The 16,450-nt window shown below is 50.2% G+C and overlaps 2 protein-coding genes, 1 long non-coding RNA gene and 4 other non-coding genes across 15 annotated transcripts in view, besides 9 other annotated features; 5 read left to right on the top strand and 2 right to left on the bottom strand.

The window, feature by feature from the left end:
• Positions 1 to 627: 627 nt before the first annotated feature.
• LOC124903966 (uncharacterized) lies at positions 628 to 1,407 on the top strand. Its single transcript, XR_007065690.1, has 2 exons — positions 628 to 684; positions 958 to 1,407. It is a non-coding gene; the product is annotated as an uncharacterized LOC124903966 (long non-coding RNA).
• MIR4732 (microRNA 4732) lies at positions 888 to 963 on the top strand. Its single transcript, NR_039885.1, has one exon. It is a non-coding gene; the product is annotated as a microRNA 4732 (primary transcript).
• Positions 1,000 to 1,085, top strand: MIR144 (microRNA 144). The gene has a single exon (NR_029685.1). It is a non-coding gene; the product is annotated as a microRNA 144 (primary transcript).
• On the top strand, positions 1,178 to 1,249 carry MIR451A (microRNA 451a). The gene has a single exon (NR_029970.1). It is a non-coding gene; the product is annotated as a microRNA 451a (primary transcript).
• On the bottom strand, positions 1,180 to 1,247 carry MIR451B (microRNA 451b). Its single transcript, NR_039876.1, has one exon. It is a non-coding gene; the product is annotated as a microRNA 451b (primary transcript).
• Positions 1,408 to 1,556: 149 nt separating the features above from the next.
• ERAL1 (Era like 12S mitochondrial rRNA chaperone 1) lies at positions 1,557 to 7,602 on the bottom strand. 4 transcript variants are annotated; one of them, NR_134328.2, is made up of 10 exons: positions 7,301 to 7,602; positions 6,227 to 6,354; positions 6,036 to 6,113; positions 4,633 to 4,679; positions 4,411 to 4,472; positions 4,132 to 4,244; positions 3,985 to 4,042; positions 3,505 to 3,654; positions 3,335 to 3,415; positions 1,557 to 2,187 (listed from the first exon to the last, which is right to left on the bottom strand). NR_134328.2 is itself a non-coding variant. In NM_005702.4 (10 exons), exons 1-10 carry the CDS (start codon positions 7,581 to 7,583, stop codon positions 2,065 to 2,067), a joined length of 1,314 nt encoding a protein of 437 aa, NP_005693.1. In that variant the 5' UTR covers positions 7,584 to 7,602; the 3' UTR covers positions 1,557 to 2,064. The 4 variants fall into 4 exon arrangements, 3 of the variants coding, with proteins under 3 accessions (NP_005693.1, NP_001304914.1, NP_001304915.1); NM_005702.4 differs by having other exon boundaries at positions 3,794 to 4,042; NM_001317985.2 differs by having other exon boundaries at positions 3,794 to 4,042; positions 6,039 to 6,113.
• Positions 3,326 to 4,525: an enhancer, noted in NCBI's record as "BRD4-independent group 4 enhancer chr17:27185111-27186310 (GRCh37/hg19 assembly coordinates)". NCBI's record gives its function as "activates an origin of replication core promoter dependent on BRD2, P300/CBP, MED14 and CDK7 cofactors, and independent of BRD4, by STARR-seq in HCT116 cells {active_cell/tissue: HCT116}" and the evidence as "EXISTENCE:reporter gene assay evidence [ECO:0000049][PMID:35650434]".
• Positions 6,931 to 7,436: an enhancer, noted in NCBI's record as "H3K27ac hESC enhancer chr17:27182200-27182705 (GRCh37/hg19 assembly coordinates)". NCBI's record gives its function as "activates a minimal SCP1, AML or CMV promoter by ChIP-STARR-seq in naive H9 embryonic stem cells {active_cell/tissue: H9 hESC(naive)}" and the evidence as "EXISTENCE:reporter gene assay evidence [ECO:0000049][PMID:30033119]".
• Positions 6,931 to 7,943: a biological region, named in NCBI's record as "H3K27ac hESC enhancers GRCh37_chr17:27181693-27182199 and GRCh37_chr17:27182200-27182705".
• Positions 7,291 to 7,640: an enhancer, noted in NCBI's record as "active region_11953". NCBI's record gives its function as "activates an Ori minimal core promoter by ATAC-STARR-seq in GM12878 lymphoblastoid cells {active_cell/tissue: GM12878}" and the evidence as "EXISTENCE:reporter gene assay evidence [ECO:0000049][PMID:35858748]".
• Positions 7,437 to 7,943: an enhancer, noted in NCBI's record as "H3K27ac hESC enhancer chr17:27181693-27182199 (GRCh37/hg19 assembly coordinates)". NCBI's record gives its function as "activates a minimal SCP1, AML or CMV promoter by ChIP-STARR-seq in naive H9 embryonic stem cells {active_cell/tissue: H9 hESC(naive)}" and the evidence as "EXISTENCE:reporter gene assay evidence [ECO:0000049][PMID:30033119]".
• FAM222B (family with sequence similarity 222 member B) overlaps positions 7,614 to 16,450 on the top strand; it is a 99,025-nt gene continuing 90,188 nt past the window's right edge. For all 6 annotated transcript variants that reach the window (XM_047436371.1, XM_047436381.1, XM_047436376.1 and 3 more), the window contains exon 1: positions 7,614 to 7,668. The gene's annotated coding sequence lies outside the window, so the exon portion shown is untranslated. The remainder of the gene's footprint in view (positions 7,669 to 16,450) is intronic.
• Positions 7,941 to 7,990: an enhancer, noted in NCBI's record as "active region_11952". NCBI's record gives its function as "activates an Ori minimal core promoter by ATAC-STARR-seq in GM12878 lymphoblastoid cells {active_cell/tissue: GM12878}" and the evidence as "EXISTENCE:reporter gene assay evidence [ECO:0000049][PMID:35858748]".
• Positions 7,941 to 8,449: a biological region, named in NCBI's record as "H3K27ac-H3K4me1 hESC enhancer GRCh37_chr17:27181187-27181692".
• Positions 7,944 to 8,449: an enhancer, noted in NCBI's record as "H3K27ac-H3K4me1 hESC enhancer chr17:27181187-27181692 (GRCh37/hg19 assembly coordinates)". NCBI's record gives its function as "activates a minimal SCP1, AML or CMV promoter by ChIP-STARR-seq in naive H9 embryonic stem cells {active_cell/tissue: H9 hESC(naive)}" and the evidence as "EXISTENCE:reporter gene assay evidence [ECO:0000049][PMID:30033119]".
• Positions 13,758 to 13,807: a silencer, noted in NCBI's record as "silent region_8357". NCBI's record gives its function as "represses an Ori minimal core promoter by ATAC-STARR-seq in GM12878 lymphoblastoid cells {active_cell/tissue: GM12878}" and the evidence as "EXISTENCE:reporter gene assay evidence [ECO:0000049][PMID:35858748]".

Genomic DNA, 16,450 nt, shown 5'->3' with positions numbered 1-16,450 from the left:
AGTGCTAGGCTCTCACTGGAGGTGCCTTGAGCTTTGAAGAGCAGACCCACAAGAGCTGGGGATTCAGCTGCTCTCAAATCTCCTAGTAGAGCAACCCCCAAGAGGACCTTGCCAGGGCAGTGCTAGGCAGAGTCTCTCTGCCTGCCTAGGTCTGGCCTCCTTGGGCTCATCATAAACACAGGGGCAGGGGCTGGGAATAGAAATTTAGGCTGACGGGTAGGGTGAGCTCGGCTGCCAGACAGATTCTGGAGATCCAGTTGCCAGGACCCTTCCTGCCCTATACAGAGAGATTCAACTAACATTGCCTACCACCACTGCAAAACAAAAACAAAAACAAAAAAAGCAAAAACGAGAAACCTTCCACTAGGGATCTGACCAGCAATTAAATGCTGGTGGATGGGATGAGGCTGTTCTTTCTCCTTCCCAGCCCGGCAGAGATGATGAGCTTCTTGGAGATGGGAGTGAAGGGTGAATATGGTCCATGAGAGAGTATGTGAGAAAAGGCCTTCTAGGGAAAGGGGCCAGTGACCCTTGTCATGGACTCTAGCAGGGCAAGGGTTAAGAGGCAGGGCCAGGAAAAGTGCCCCACCCAGGGGAGGGACCGGTATGATAAAAGGCAAGCAGCTTGAGGGACAGATCCTCCCTGCATCCAAAGGCCTCCTCAGTCTGCAGTTCCAGCTCCAGGTAAGTGCACCTTCTCTGGGTCTGTCTGCCTGTCTGCTTGTTAGTGTGACCAAAGGGAACCTTCTGCATCATTACGCCATCTCTGGCTTGTTTAACACTGGCCCTGGGTCCCTATGAGATCTTAACAGACCCTAGCTCCAGTCCCCTTCCCATAACCCACCTGGGCTGTGCCTGACCACAGAATCAAGGAGACGCTGGCCTGCGAGGGAGCTGTAGAGCAGGGAGCAGGAAGCTGTGTGTGTCCAGCCCTGACCTGTCCTGTTCTGCCCCCAGCCCCTCACAGTGCTTTTCAAGCCATGCTTCCTGTGCCCCCAGTGGGGCCCTGGCTGGGATATCATCATATACTGTAAGTTTGCGATGAGACACTACAGTATAGATGATGTACTAGTCCGGGCACCCCCAGCTCTGGAGCCTGACAAGGAGGACAGGAGAGATGCTGCAAGCCCAAGAAGCTCTCTGCTCAGCCTGTCACAACCTACTGACTGCCAGGGCACTTGGGAATGGCAAGGAAACCGTTACCATTACTGAGTTTAGTAATGGTAATGGTTCTCTTGCTATACCCAGAAAACGTGCCAGGAAGAGAACTCAGGACCCTGAAGCAGACTACTGGAAGGGAGACTCCAGCTCAAACAAGGCAGGGGTGGGGGCGTGGGATTGGGGGTAGGGGAGGGAATAGATACATTTTCTCTTTCCTGTTGTAAAGAAATAAAGATAAGCCAGGCACAGTGGCTCACGCCTGTAATCCCACCACTTTCAGAGGCCAAGGCAGGAGGATTTCTTGAGCCCAGGAGTTTGAGACCAGCCTAGACAACATAGTGAGACTCAGTCCCTAATATTAAAAAATAAAAATAAATAAATAAAAGGAATAAAGATGAGAACCAGAATGCTTATATTTTATTAGTATCCAAGACTGGGGAGAGGGATGGGGTGGGAGAGATCAAGAATTGGGGAGCAGATGGGAGGCGCTACCTCACTCAGGAGACACGAGTTCTTATCCAAGTTCAAGGTGAAAGAAGTGAGGGCAGGAAGAGAAATCTCCCTGCTAGCAACAGCGACTCAGGGAGAAACTCTGGGCCCATAGCTAGCTGGAGGCAGGGTGACATTGCTCCCACCAATGGGCCATCTTCTTAGCTACACCTTTGTAGCTGTGGTGCCAGGCAGAGGAACCACCTGGAAACTGAGCTAAGGCAGGTTCCTTCTTCCAACAGAAGACACAGCTGGGCAGGGACTGTGCAGACTCAACAGGGCCAGGCCAGCTAGTGGCCAGTCAGTGTTCATGTCTCTCACCAGTGCCTGGAGGGTCCCCAGCCAAGGACAGAACTGGTCAGTTCCTGCCAGCAGCTTGAGCTGGAATGCCCTGGGAGGGTCAGTAGAGGGTGGTCACTTGAGGAGCTTCACAGAGAGGCGGATGTCAACATCGCAGAGGAAGATGTCCATGAGGTCATGGCCTGCCTCCTGTGCTATCTGGGAGATCACGTGGCCCTTCGGACCAATCAGGAGTTTCTGAGGGTATGTGAAAGAGAAGGAAGCCAGGAATGATGGCACATGCCTGTAGTCCCAGCTACTTGGGGGGCTAAGGTGAGAAGATCCTTTGAGCACAGGAGTTTGAGTCCAGCCTGGGTAACAGTGCGACCCCTCTTTAAAAAAAAGAGAGGGTGGCCGGGCGCAGTGGCTCACGCCTGTAATCCCAGCACTTTGGGAGGCTGAGGCGGGCAGATCACCTGAGGTCAGGAGTTCGAGACCAGCCTGGCCAACATGGTGAAATGCTGTCTCTACTAAAAACACAAAAAATTAGCTGGACATGGTGGCGGGCACCTGTAATCTCAGCTACTTGGGAGGCTGAGGCAGGAGAATCACTTGAACCTGGGAGGCAGAGGTTGCAGTGAGCTGAGATCGTGCCTCTGCACCCCAGCCTGAGTGACAGAGCAAGAACCTGGCTCAAAAAAAAAATAAAAAAATAAAAAAAAGAGAGGGTTAGATGTGGTGGCTCACGCATATTAATCCCAGCACTTTCGGAGGCCAAGGTGCATGGACTGCTTGAGCCCAGGAATTTGAGACCAGCCTGGGCAACATGGTGAAACCCCTTCTCTACAAAAAAATTTTTTTAAATTAGCGGATAGTCAGGCGGCACTTTGGGAGGCTGAGGTGGGCGGACAATTTGAGGTCAAGCGTTCGAAGCCAGCCTGGCCAAGATGGTGAAACCCCATCTCTACTAAAAATACAAAAATTAGCTGGGCTTGGTGGTGGGCACCTGTAATCCCAGCTTCTCGGGAGGCTGAGGCAGGAGAATCACTTGAGCCTGGGAGGCGGAGGTTGCAGTGAGCAGAGATCACGCCACTGCACTCCAGCCTGGATGACAGAGTGAGACTTTGTCTCAAAAAAAAAAAAAGAAAATTATAATCAGCTGGTCTCAGCTCCTCAGGGGGCTGAGGCGGGAGGATTGCTTGAGCGTGGGAAGTCAAGGCTGCAGTGAACTGTGATCACACCACTGCACTCCAGCCTGGGTGACAGAGCGAGACTGTCTCAAAAAAAAGAAAAGAAGAAGAAAAAAAGAGAGAAGGATATGGTCCTGCTCTCAGGGCTCCAAGCTGGGGGAAGAACTCCTGCCTAACATAGTCTTGATCTCTCCTCTGAGCCTAGTCTCACTTACCACATAAGATTCTTTGGGCACCAGAAGCTTCTGTTGGATAACCAGCTCCCCACCTGGTCCTTCCTCCCACACTGCTGTCTTCTGTACAGGGAGACAAATGATTAGTCAGTCATACACCTGGGTAGAGGTGTGTGTCTGATAGAGAGCCCCCAGAACCCTTCACTCTGTACCTGCTGTACATTGTAAGGCACCTCCTGGGGCAGGTGTTCTAGGAGCTTCTCTCGGATAATGTTGGCACAGATCTCTTCTGGTGTCTGGCTAGTGAGGACTGCACTGTGGTACTCCCAGGGCCCTGGCTGGGCCTGTGTCAGAAGGTATTGCTGTGGGAACAGAGGGAATAGATGGGCATCTTAATCCCAACCAGGACTTTTCTCCTCACTTTTGCTTCCAGGAGGAAATTTGAGGGCTGTCTTCATATGGTAGAAACCAAGGGCCAGGCTATGGCCAAGACTAACTGACCTTTAGTGTTTTCACGTCCTCCTGGCTTAGGGCTGACAACATGAAGATCTCCTTGAAGTGGGGCCAGCCAATCCTCTGAGGATTTCCCACAGATTGTGTGTTTGGGTCCTTAACTGCTGGGCTGGGGCAATGGGTGCCAGGGTGTGAGTGGAAGGCCTGCCTCATCTTGAGCTTTTTGCCATTGACCACACCTTCAGTGAGGGCTGCCGTGAGCTCCAGGAGAACTGACTTCTGCTTCAAACAATCTACCTGGACATGGGGGATGGGCAAAGGGTGTGTGGTCAGAGATAGGGGACTTGGAGGGAAGTAGACCCCTTCCTCAGGTGGGTAGTGCTCACCTTGTTCATGACCAGGACACTAGGGATCTGGGAGTACTTGGTCAAGCACCTGAGCAACTGGGGGCTGAGCTGGTTCCGTGTCCACTTGTCTGAGACATCCACAAGAACCACAACTAGAAGATGGCAAGGCAGGAAGAAGGAAAAGGAAATGGTCACTCTTCCTCCTGCCCTGACAAAAACTTCCATGGTATGAGCTTGGCTTTTGCCCCCCAAACTACCAAGGAATGAAAGGCCATGACCCCTGTAAACTGGGCTTAAGGTTCCCATCCTGAACCTAACCAAGATCAGCAGATTCCATGCTCTTCCATGGATCTTCCAACAAAGAGAGCTCCAGGTGATGCCTGAGGGACAGACATACATCAGTCAGGAAAGGTCTTATGACTAAGGCATTTCTGATGAGGGATGTGGTATGGTAAAGGGGTTTTCCAGCCCCTATAATGGAATCTCCCCACCCTCTTTCAGTACCTCCCCGCCAATCCACCCCAATTCCACCACCATTACCTCTTCTGTTTACCAGGACTGATAATGCCAGGTGTGTCAAGTAGAATCTAAAATCAGGAAAGTGAGATACCCAGACCCCAGGAGAAAAGATTATGACTGGGAAGTCAGAGAGAGGCTACCTGTGATGTCAGGAGCCTGCCCTCCCTTCTCAGTCAAACTATTATTGACTTTAGGTTTGTTTTTTGTTTTTTTCTGAGACGGAGTCTCACTCTGTCATCCAGGCTGGAGTGCAGTGGCACAATCTCAGCTCACTGCAACCTCTGCCTCCCGGGTTCAAGCAATTCTCCTGCCTCAACCTCCTGAGTAGCTGGGATTACAGGCGTGCACCACCACACCCGGCTAATTTTTGTATTTTTTTAGTAGAGACAGGGTTTCACCATGTTGGCCAGGCTGGTCTTGAACTCCTGATCTCAAGTGATCCGCCTGCTTTGGCCTCCCAAAGTGCTGGGATTACAGACGTGAGCCACTGCGCCCAGGCTGACCTTAGGTTTCTACCATTCTGCTTTGATGGGATCTGGGAGAAAGATGATGACTGTGAATATAAGGAAGATTAGGAAGCAGTAAACAGAGAATGAAATCGGCTGGGCGTGGTGGCTCATGCCTGTAATCCCAGCACTTTGGGAGGCCAAGGCAGGCGGATCACCTGAGGTCAGGAGTTTGAGACTAGCCTGGCCAACATGGTGAAACCCCATCTCTACTAAAAATACAAAAGTAGCCGGGCGTGGTGGCGCATGCCTGTAGTCCCAGCTACTCGGGAGGCTGAGGCAGGAGAACTGCTTAAACCCGGGAGGCAGAGGTTGTAGTGAGCTGAGATCATGCCATTGAACTCCAGCCTGGGCAACAAGAGTGAAACTCCATCTCAAAAAAAAAAAAAAAGAGAGCGAGAGAATGAAATCTTTCTGACTAGATGTCAGGGGAGGGCAAGGTAGAGACAGAACTGTACCATGCCTAAAGGAAGAGGAAACCCCCTTTCCTGGCCAGGCGCAGTGGCTCACACCTGTAATCCCAGCACTTTGGGATGCTGAGGCAGGCGGATCACGCGGTCAGGAGATCGAGACCATCCTGGCTAACACAGTGAGACCCCATCTCTACTAAAAATACAAAAAATTAGCTGGGTGTGGTGGCAGGCGCCTGTAGTCCCAGCTACTCAGGAGGCTGAGGCAGGAGAATGGCGTCAACCTGGGAGGTGGAGCTTGCAGTGAGCCAAGATCGCGTCACTGCACTCCAGCCTGGGAGACAGAGTGAGACTCCATCTCAAAAAAAAAAAAAAAGAAAAAGAAAAGAAACCCCCTTTCCTCACATAAATGAATGTGACCATCATTTTCTTCAAGGCTGATGGTAAGGGAGACCCTCTTAGCTTCACCCTCTGTCCTGTTTCAAGGACTCCCTTTGTAGGTACCCACCACCTGGGTCTCCTTCTCTGTGATGACCCCCAGAGCTTGGCAGCGAGTAGTATGCACCTTCCTGGAAACAGGGAACACCTGCCAGGAACAAAGGAGTCTCAGTGAGGTCCCAGATCCCTCCAAGACCATCCTTGAAGGCATGGCAAGAAGTAAAAGATGTAAAGGGTAGGATGGTCAAGGGTGTAGCATACCTTTCGGCCCAGTAGCTGGTTGGAGAGTGTTGACTTCCCTGCATTCGGGGCTCCCAGGAGGACCACTCGTAGGACCCGGGAATTCTCAGGCATATCAGGGTGATGGACCAAGAGGACATCCTGCTCATCTATGTGCAAGTGGGAAGAAGCATGAGACACAGTGGAATCTGGATTTCCTGTCAAGTGCTTGTTCCTGCCCACCCACAAAGGGAGCAGGGGTACAAAATTAGTGCACCAGGTTGAAGTCACCTAGAGCTGACTTTGAGACTTTGGCCCTTAATTTACATTAATTTATAAAGTAACTCCCTGAGCCCTTTAGTTTTCTCATATGTAAAAGTGAGTTGATATTAACAGTACCTACTTACCAGCTTATAATTTTTTTGATGACTAGCAATTGTGTAAAACAACTCAGCACAATACCTGGCACTTAATAATTACTGCATGTAATTATAATGTATAGCTGTGCCTGAGAAGTGAATGTACATGAAAGCAAGCTGGATTACACAAAGCCAGATATTTCCTCAGCTCTCATTCTCTCACCCTACTAAGGGTGCTATGAAGGCCCTGCAAGCTTTCCCAGTCTTTTTTTTTTTTTTTCCTGAAGGAGGGACGGGAGGAAGGGCTAAGGGTCAAGAAGGGAGAGGGCCCAGTCTTTTTATATTATCTTCTTATGACACCATTTTGCAATGACCAGTTTGTGTCCAGTCTCCAATACCGGACACTGTTTGAAGAATAAAGTGTGCTGTTTTCCAGGTGTAACTGTGTCTTAACAAGAAGATGAGGCCCAACATGCATTTACTGGATCAAATTTGCTTCCCATGTCGGGGTGCAGAGCCATAGTTCCACTTTGTGGCCCTTCAATCTCATGCTCTTTAGTGAGCGTCTCTGGTTGTGACCAGATCGTTTCCTTCTCCCACTCAAACTGTTATTTCTCTCCTGAGAGATTTTTCACTGCTCCTCCCTGTCAGGGCCTCAAAATTGTTTTCTATAAAATAGAATCAAAGACAGTATCCCCAGAAACCTTTCAATACTAAAAACATGACAGTTCCGAGCAAACCTATCAGGGCGCTTTACCTCTGTTCATGGACACCGCGGGGACGCAAGGAGTCACCGAACTGTCGGGCTGAGAGAATCCGAGGAAGTGGTCCAGGGCAGAGCCCTGGCCATTACTGCGAGAAGCCGAGGCCAAGCGGGGACCAGAGAAAGCGGACCCCGCGACGCAGGACACGCACCTCCGTTGGAAGCCTAAGAGTGAGGAAAAAGGGATCACCCGCTCCCTCGCGACATGAGGGCCCACCTGCCAGACTCTTAACACCGATTGAACAAGCCTAGCCCCGCGCCAGCTGGGGGCAGCCATTACAGCCGCAAGGCACTGCGGGAACCGACCAGGAGCGCTCCTACGATTGAACAGAGCGGCTGACGAACCAGCGAGTAGGAGAGAGGTAGGTCTGCCCAAATTGAAAGCCGAGACACATGGGATGTGGGCGGGAGGAGGAATTGCTCTGGAGACTGGTGGAGGCTAAGGAAAGGGGAAAATGTGTATTTAGAGTCTGTGCAAGCATGACGGTAGTTTTGGACTCCCATACACAACGTATTTTTTTCTTCTGCCAAAGTTTTGTAAACGGCCCTTCTGGCCATGTCTCCTAAAAGACTACATTTCCCATGAGGCCAAATAGCAGAAATCGTCCTCCCATCGAGGGAGGAATGGTTGTGGGAGTGGGAGGGGGCACTGTTCCGCCTGTCCCCGTAAGGGTTTTGTTGTTGTTTGTTCCTAGTCCTTTCCATCCTTTGGCCTGCAGGATCCTCTCCCAGCCTTAATTTGGCTTGCCCTAGAGGTCAGCGGTGGCCCCGGGCTGTCTGCACCTTTGCTTTAGGCTAGGTTCCTGGAAGGAGTGGTCCTTGGGTCGGTGTTTGGGATGAAGAGCAGGTCTGGATTTCCCTCCTGTAAGCCTTGGCTACTGTCTACTATCTGAGGTCATTCCTTTATGGAGAACAACCAGAGGGTTTGCAAAGGAGGAAGAAGTGGCTTAGCCACCTAAGGTCTCCTAGACCGCTCTAGCAGCCGGAGAAACTCATTTACCTTGCTCTGTTTGAGGCCTTGAGCCCTCTTCATCCTTTGTAGCCTCTAAATCAAACACTTGAAACAGAGAGCTGGGCGCGGTGGCTCACGCCTGTAATCCCAGCACTTTGGGAGGCCGAGGCGGGCGGATCACGAGGTCAGGAGATCGAGACCATCCTGGCTAATACGGTGAAACCCGGTCTCTACTAAAAATACAAAAAATTAGCCGGGCGTGGTGGCGGGCGCCTGTAGTCCCAGCTACTCAGGAGGCTGAGGCAGGAGAATGGCGTGAACCTGGGAGGCGGAGCTTGCAGTGAGCTGAGATTGCACCACTGCACTCCAGCCTGGGCGATAGAGCGAGACTCCATCTCAAAAAAAAAAAAAAAAAAAAGAAACAGAGATAAACTTTGGTAGAGGGGGTGTTGAGGAAGGAAGGTTCTTAGAGTCAGTGCTCATTCTGTCACCCAGGCTGGAGTGCAGTGGCATGATCATAGCTCACTGGAGCCTGAAACTCTTGGGTTCAAGCGATCTTCCAGTTTCAGCCCTCTTGAGTAGCTAGGACTACAGGCACATGCTAACATGCCTGACTATGGAGGAAGATGTATAAAGCATCCACTAGCAAGCTCTGTCCTGTGCTGGGAATACATCAGTGAACAAAACAGACAGAAATCTCTATCACGGGATTTCAGGGACCCCATCTCTAAAATAACAATAGCAACAAAAATACAACACAATACAGTATAACAACTATTTATATAGCACTTACATTGTATTAGATATTATAAGTAATCTAGAGACTTTAAGATGACTTAAAGTCATCTCTTACTACAAGAGAATCAGCAGATTTTGGTATCCATAGGATGGGAGGGTGGAAATTATGGTATCTAAATTCCCTGGGAAGACACCACTGTATATTCTGGCTATCCTCAATTTCTCTTCTCCCATTCTTTCTTTTATTTTTATTTTTTTGAGACAGGGTCTTGCTCTCTCACCCAGACTGGAGTGCAGTGGTGCAATCATGGCTCACTACAGCCTCGACCTCCCAGTCTCAAGCGTTCCTCCCACCTCAGCCCTGCTAGTAGCTGTGACTACAGACCTGCCGCTGCCATGCCTAGTAATTCTTTTTTTTTTTTTTTTTTGAGACAGAGTTTCACTCTTGTTGCCCAGGCTTCAGTGCAATGGTGCAATCTTGGCTCACTGCAACCTCTACTTCCCGGGTTGAAGTGATTTTCCTGCCTCAGCCTCCCGAGTAGCTGGGATCACAGGCATACACCACCATGCCCGGCTAATTTTGTATTTTCAGTAGAGACGGGGTTTCTCCATGTTGGTCAGGCTGGTCTTGAACTCCCGACCTCAGGTGATCCGCCCACCTCAACCTCCCAATGCGCTGGGATTACAGGCGTCAGCCACCTCGCCCAGTGCTAATTTTTAAATCTTTTGCAGAGACAGAGTCTCACTATGTTGCCCAGGCTGGTTACGAACTCCTTGCCTCAAGTGATCCTCTGCCTTGGCCTCCCCAAGTGCGAGTTTACAGGCATGAGACACCATGCTTGGCCTTTCCCCAGATATTTTTTTCTTCAGTTGGTTGAATTCCTGGATGCTGAACCCTTGGATATTGAGGACCAGTATTGAGCAGGAGAGGGCTGTGGGGTTAACAGAGGATTTTCTTTTCTTTTTTAAGAGGAAAATTTTATTCTTACTGAGATGGAGTCTGGCTCCCCTAGGCTGGAGTGCAATGGTTGAATCTCACTGCAACCTCCACCTCCCAGACCCAAGCAATCCTCCCTCTTCAGCCTCCCAAGTAGCTGGGACTACAGATGCGGGCCACCACATCCGGCTAATTTTTTGGTAATTTTTTTGTACAGATGGGGTTTCACCATGTATTCCAGGTTGGTCTTGAACTCTGCCTACTCCATCTCCCAAAGTGCTGAGATAACAGGCGTGAGTCACTGTACCTGGCCTGAACATTTTTTTTTGGAGACAGAGTCTCGCTCTGTCGCCCAGGCTGGAGTGCAGTGGCACGATCTTGGCTCTGCCTCCCGGGTTCAGGCCATTCTCCTGCCTCAGCCTCCCGAGTAGCTGAGACTGCAGGCGCCCACCACCATGCCCGGCTAATTTTTTGTATTTTTAGTAGAGACGGTGTTTTACTGTGTTAGCCTGGATGGTCTCGATCTCCTGACCTCGTGATCCACCCGCCTTGGCCTCCCAAAGTGCTAGGATTGCAGGCGTGAGCCACCGCGCCAGGCCACGTTGCTTTTTTTAATTAAAAAAAAATTTTTTTGAGCCACAGTCTCACTCTGTTGTCTGAGCTGGAGTGTAGTGGTTTAATTTTGGCGCACTGCAACCTCCACCTCCTGGGCTCAGGTGATTCCCCCATTTTAGCCTCCCAGGTAGCTGGGACTACAGATGTGCCTGACCACGCCCAGCTAATTTCTGTTTTTGGTTTTTTTTTTTTTTTTGAGATGGAGTCTTTCTCATTGCCCAGGCTGGAGTGCAGTGGTGCGATCTCAGCTCACTGCAACCTCCACCTCCCTGGTTCAAGTGATTCTCCTGGCTCAGCCTCCCGAGTAGCTGGGATTACAGGTGCCCGCCACCACACTGGCTAATTTTTGTATTTTTAGTAGAGACAGGGTTTCGCCATGTTGGCTAGGCTGGTCTCAAACTCCTGACCCGGTGATCTGCCCGCCTTGGCGTCCCAAAGTGCTGGGATTACAGGGATGAGTCACTGCACCTAGCCTAATTTCTGTATTTTTTATAGAGACAGGCTGTCACCATGTTGCCCAGGTTGGTCTTTTGTTTGTTTGTTTGTTCGTTTGAGACTCCCAGGCTGGAGTGCAATGGCATGATCTTGGCTCACTGCAACCTCTGCCTCCCGGGTTCAAGCTATTTTCCTGCCTCAGGCTCCCAAGTAGGTGGGGTTACAGTCTTCTGCCACCACGCCCGGCTAATTTTTTGTATTTTTAGTAGAGATGGGGTTTCACCATGTTGGCCAGGCTGGTCTCGAACTCCTGACCTCAGGTGATCCACCCACCTCGGCCTCCCAAAGTGCTGGGCTTACAGGTGTGAGCCACCATGCCTGGCTTGGCCCAGGCTGGTCTTGAACTCCTGGGCTCAAGTAAGCCATCTGCTTTGACCTCCCAAAGTGCTGAGATTACAGGTGTGAGTTACTGCCCCTAGCCTTGGAACATTTTTTTGTTTTGTTTTGTTTTGTTTTGAGATGGAGTCTCCCTCTGTCGCCCAGGCTGGAGTGCAGCGGTGCGATCTCAGCTCACTGCAACCTCCACCTCCTGGGTTCAAGCAATTCTTCTGCCTCAGCCTCCTGAGTAGGTGGGATTACAGGCGCACCCCACCAAGCCCGGCTAATTTTTGTAGTTTTAGTACAGACGGGGTTTCACCATATTGGCCAGGCTTGTCTCAAACTCCTAACCTTGTGATTTGCCCACCTTGGCCTCCCAAAGCGTTGGGATTACAGGTGTGAGCTGCCATGCCTGGCGGAACATTTTTTTACAATTTTTGATTTTTATAGAAAGAACCTGTTCAAAATTGGTCAGACACTGCACACGAGAAGTTTCTAGAACCACAATGATGAAAACAACAAAAACCGACAGACAGAAGAAAATAGGCAAACAGACAGAACCTACAAACAGAACAAACAGAACAAAAATACCCGAGACTAAACTGTTTCAAAATCAAGGTCCCAGTTGACCAAAGGATTCTAAAGAAACTCATGTGGCCGGCCGGGCGCGGTGGCTCAAGCCTCTAATCCCAGCACTTCGGGAGGCCGAGGTGGGCGGATCACAAGGTCAGGAGATCGAGACCATCCTGGCTAACACGGTGAAACTCTGTCTCTACTAAAAATACAAAAAAGCCGGGCGTGGTGTCAGGCACTTGTAGTCCCAGCTACTTGGGAGGCTGAGGCAGGAGAATGGCGTGAACCCAGGAAGCGGGGCTTGCAGTGAGCCGAGATCGCACCACTGCACTCCAGCCCGGGCGACAGAGCAAGACTCTGTCTTAAAAAGAAAAAAAAAAAGAAACTCATATGGCCAAGGGTGAGGAGACTCCAATGCCTGAGCAAGTACCCAGAGTGGAAGGAAAAACAGTTCAGAAATTCAAATCGCAATCCCTGCCCGCTGGCCCCTCATGCTATCAAGAGTGAGGCAAAGGGCTTCACAGCTTTATGGGGCAGAGAAGAGAGTGATGACAATAGGACAATAGCTTAAATAATGGGAGGAGGGGGAATTTTTTTTTGAGACAGAGTTTCACTCTTGTTGGCCAGGTTGGAGTGCAATGGCATGACCTCGGCTCACTGCAACCTCTGCCTCCTGGGTTCTAAGTGATTCTCCTGCCTTAGCCTCCTGAGTAGTTGGGATTACAGGCATGCGCCACCACGCCTGGCTAATTTTTTGTATTTTTAGTAGAGACGGGGTTTCTCCATGTTGGTCAGGCTGGTCTCGAACTCCCAATCTCAGGTGATCCGCCCTCCTCGGCCTCCCAAAGTGCTGGGATTACAGGCGTGAGCCACTGCGCCTGGTGAGGAGGGGAATTTTTACATTTCAACTTTTTGTTTTCTCTTCCCTTATAGGGAAAGAGGAGAGAGTGGTAGCTTGAAGTTAAGGAGAAAACAGTGATTTTTTTTCTTCTTCTTTAATGTAGAAAACATCTAGGAATGGCAGGCTGTAATGAAAAAAATGCCAAATTTGGCCACTTCCTAAAGAGGAGGTGGGCGCTTGTGTGGGTTGGTTATGAGAGTTACCAACCTTGGGTGTTGCAGCTTCTTGGAAGAAAACACTCCAGATACAAAGATTTGAGGGTGAGAGAGTAGAAGGGGGGCCAGAATGGGCAACCCTTAAGTGGTACCAAAATTAGCTGCGGCCTGCTCCCTGCTGGTGAGTTCCTGGAGTGTAGAGAATAGCAGGGAAGGAATTGGGGTAGAAGAGAAAATAAGTTGATATGCTGATTTAAAAAAAACAACTCTACTCAAGGCTCCATGGCCCCGGGTCCGAAGAGTAGAAAATCGCTAAGTGTCAATTACAGTGCTTTCTTGGGTCATCCCCCACTTTTTTTTTTTTTTTTTGAGACGGAGTCTCGCTGTCTCCCAGGCTGGAGTGCAGTGGCGCAATCTCGGCTCACTGCAAGCTCCGCTTCCCGGGTTCTCGCCATTCTCCTGCCTCAGCCTCCCCAGTAGCTGGGACTACAGGTGCCCGCCACCACGCCCGGCTAATTTTTTGTATTTTTAGTGGAGACGAGATTTCACCATGTTAGCCAGGATGGTCTCGATCTCCTAACCTCGTGATCCTCCCGCCTCGGCCTCCCAAAGTGCTGGGATTATAGGCGTAAGCCACCGCGCCCGGCCGGGTCATCCCCCACTTAACATGAGCTCAGTTCTGGTGGGGAATCAGTGCTGCCAGGACTAGGGGTATGGGCTGGTGGCCCAGTCTAGACTCTTGGCTCCCAGGGGAGAGGGGAAGGTGGCGCCCCCTGCTGGAGACTATATGACAACAACATATATTCCTATATTTGAACCACTGCGGGTCTTCTGAGCCATTTCCCTACTTGAATTTCTTTTTTTCTTTCTTTGAGACAGTCTTGCTCTGTCGCCCAGGCTAGAGTGCAGTGGCCCGATCTTGGCTCACTGCAACCTCCGCCTCCCTGGTTCAAGCGATTCTCCTGCCTCAGCCTCCCAAGTAGCTGGGATTACAGGTAGCCACCACCACACCGGCTAATTTTTTTATTTTTAGTAGAGACACACTTTCACCACCTTGGCCAGGCTGGTCTTGAATTCCTGACCTCGTGATCCACCTTCCTCAGCCTCCCAAAGTGCTGCGATTACAGGCGTGAGCCACCGTGCCCGGGCCCCTACTTGAATTTCTTACCAAGGGCAGAATAGTGGATTTTTCCCCTGCCAATCATTAATTCATTATATACAATATAGTTATCCATAGAAACACCCCTACTGCAAACTCAGACCATGTGGTTGGATGAGGCTCACCCCAGGCAAGGAGCACACAACTCGGAACCAACTCAATCAGCGTATAACATTCTCTAGCCCATGATGATTGTTTTAGAGATGGGCACATAACCCAGGGAGATAAAACGTACAAGGAGAATTTTGCTTCTTTCCCACTGGAGCTGGATGTAAGAAGACATAATATCTGGAGCTGCTGCAGTCATGTTGATACCAGAAGGGGAGAGCCAACCCAGAGAAAGATGTCATTTATTCGCTCCTGAACAAAAATCTATTGAGTACTTGCTATGTGCCAGACACCGCTCTAGGGTTCAAGTCACCCACCTCAGCCTTCCAAAGTGTTGGGATTTCAGATGTGAGCCAACATGCGCAGGCTCCATCTGCTTCTCTCTCCTTCATCTTCACTACACTATTTTGTTTTCTTTCTTTCTTTTCTTTTCTTTTTTTTTTTTTTGAGGCGGAGTCTCGCTCTTTCGCCCAGGCCGGAGTACAGTGGCGCTATCTCGGCTCACTGCAAGCTCCGCCTCCCGGGTTCACACCATTCTCCGGCCTCAGCCTCCGGAGTAGCTGGGACTATAGGCGCCCGCCATGGCGCCCGGCTCATTTTTTGTATTTTTAGTAGAGACGGGGTTTCACCATGTTAGCCAGAATGGTCTCGATCTCCTGACCTCGTGATCTGCCCACATCGGCCTCCCAAAGCGCTGGGATTACAGGAGTGAGCCACCGCGCCCGGCCTTGTTTTTCTTTATTTAATTAATTTATTTATTTATGTTTGAGATAGAGTCCTTCTCTGTCGCCCAGGCTGCAGTGCAGTGGCACGATCTCGGCTCACTGCAACCTCCACTTCCCAGATTCAAGCAATAGTCCTGCCTTAGCCTCCGGAGTAGGTGGGATTACAGGCTTCCGCCACAATGCCCGGCTAATTTTTTGTATTTTTAGTAGAGATGGGGTTTCTCCATGTTGGCCAAACTGGCCTCGAACTCCTGACCTCGTGATCCGCCTGCCTCAGCCTCCCAAAGTGCTGGGACTATAGGCATGAACCACCACGCACGGCCCACTACACTATTTTAGTAAGGAAGATAAAGTTACACCTTGTAACTTGGGGTCACGGAAGTTTTAGATTTTTTCTTTTTCTTTTTTTTTTCTTTTGAGACGGAGTCTCTGTCGTTCAGGCTGGAGTGCAATGGCACTATCTCGGCTCACTGCAACCTGTGCCTCTGGGGTTCAAGCGATTTTCCTGCCTCAGCCTCCCGAGTAGCTGGGATCACAGGCATGTTCCACCATGCCCGGCTAATTTGGTATTTTTAGTAGAGATGGGGTTTCTCCATGTTGGTCAGGCTGGTCTCGAACTCCTGACCTTAGGTGATCTACCCACCTAGGCCTCCCAAAGTGCTGGGATTACAGGCGTCAGCCACCACGCCCAGCGCTAATTTTTAAATCTTTTGCAGAGACAGAGTCTCACTACGTTGCCCAGGCTGGTCACGAACTCCTGGCCTCAAATGGTCCTCTGCCTTGGCCTCCCCAAGTGCTGAGTTTACAGGCATGAGACACCACGTTTGGCCTTTCCCCAGATATTTTTGTTCTTCGGATGGTTGAATTCCTAGATGCTGAACCCTTGGATATTGAGGACCAATATTGAGCAGGAGAGGGCTGTGGGGTTAATAGAGGATTTTCTTTTCTTTTTTAAGAGGAAAATTTTATTCTTACTGAGATGGAGTCTGGCTCCCCTAGGCTGGAGTGCAATGGTTGAATCTCACTGCAACCTCCGCCTCCCAGACCCAAGCAATCCTCGCTCTTCAGCCTCCCAAGTAGCTGGGACTACAGATGCGGGCCACCACACCCGGCTAATTTTTTGGTAATTTTTTTGTACAGACGGGTTTTCACCATGTGGCCCAGCTTGGTCTCAAACTCCGCCTACTCCACCTCCCAAAGTGATGACATTACAGGCGTGAGTCACCGTACCTGGCCTGAACATTTTTTTTTTAATTAAAAAAATTTTTTTGAGACACAGTCTCACTCGGTTCCTTAGGCTGCGGTGTAGTGTAGTCTAGGCTCACTGCAACCTCTGCCTCCTGGGTTCAAGTGATTCTCCCACCTCAGCCTCCCAAGTAGGTGGGACCACAGGTGTGCACCACCACATCCAGCTAATTTTTTTTTTTTTTTTTGAGATGGAGTCTTGCTCTGTCGCCCAGGCTGGAGT

Source organism: Homo sapiens, chromosome 17 (genome assembly GCF_000001405.40).
Source record: "Homo sapiens chromosome 17, GRCh38.p14 Primary Assembly".
Classification (NCBI taxonomy): Eukaryota; Metazoa; Chordata; class Mammalia; order Primates; family Hominidae; genus Homo; species Homo sapiens.
Note: the sequence above shows the minus strand (reverse complement) of the source record. Positions and strands in the feature narration are given on the sequence as shown.

Bases quoted from the DNA above. Each gene is read 5' to 3' on its own strand.
- ERAL1 (NM_005702.4), bottom strand. From the start codon at position 7,583: ATGGCTGCCCCCAGCTGGCGCGGGGCTAGGCTTGTTCAATCGGTGTTA. The intron at 4,245-4,410 runs GTTAGGTTCAGG...GCCATCTTCTAG, and splicing joins CATGGAATCTGCTGATCTTG to TTGTGGTTCTTGTGGATGTC. The intron at 3,416-3,504 runs GTACAGAGTGAA...CTCCCTGTACAG, and splicing joins TGCCTTACAATGTACAGCAG to AAGACAGCAGTGTGGGAGGA.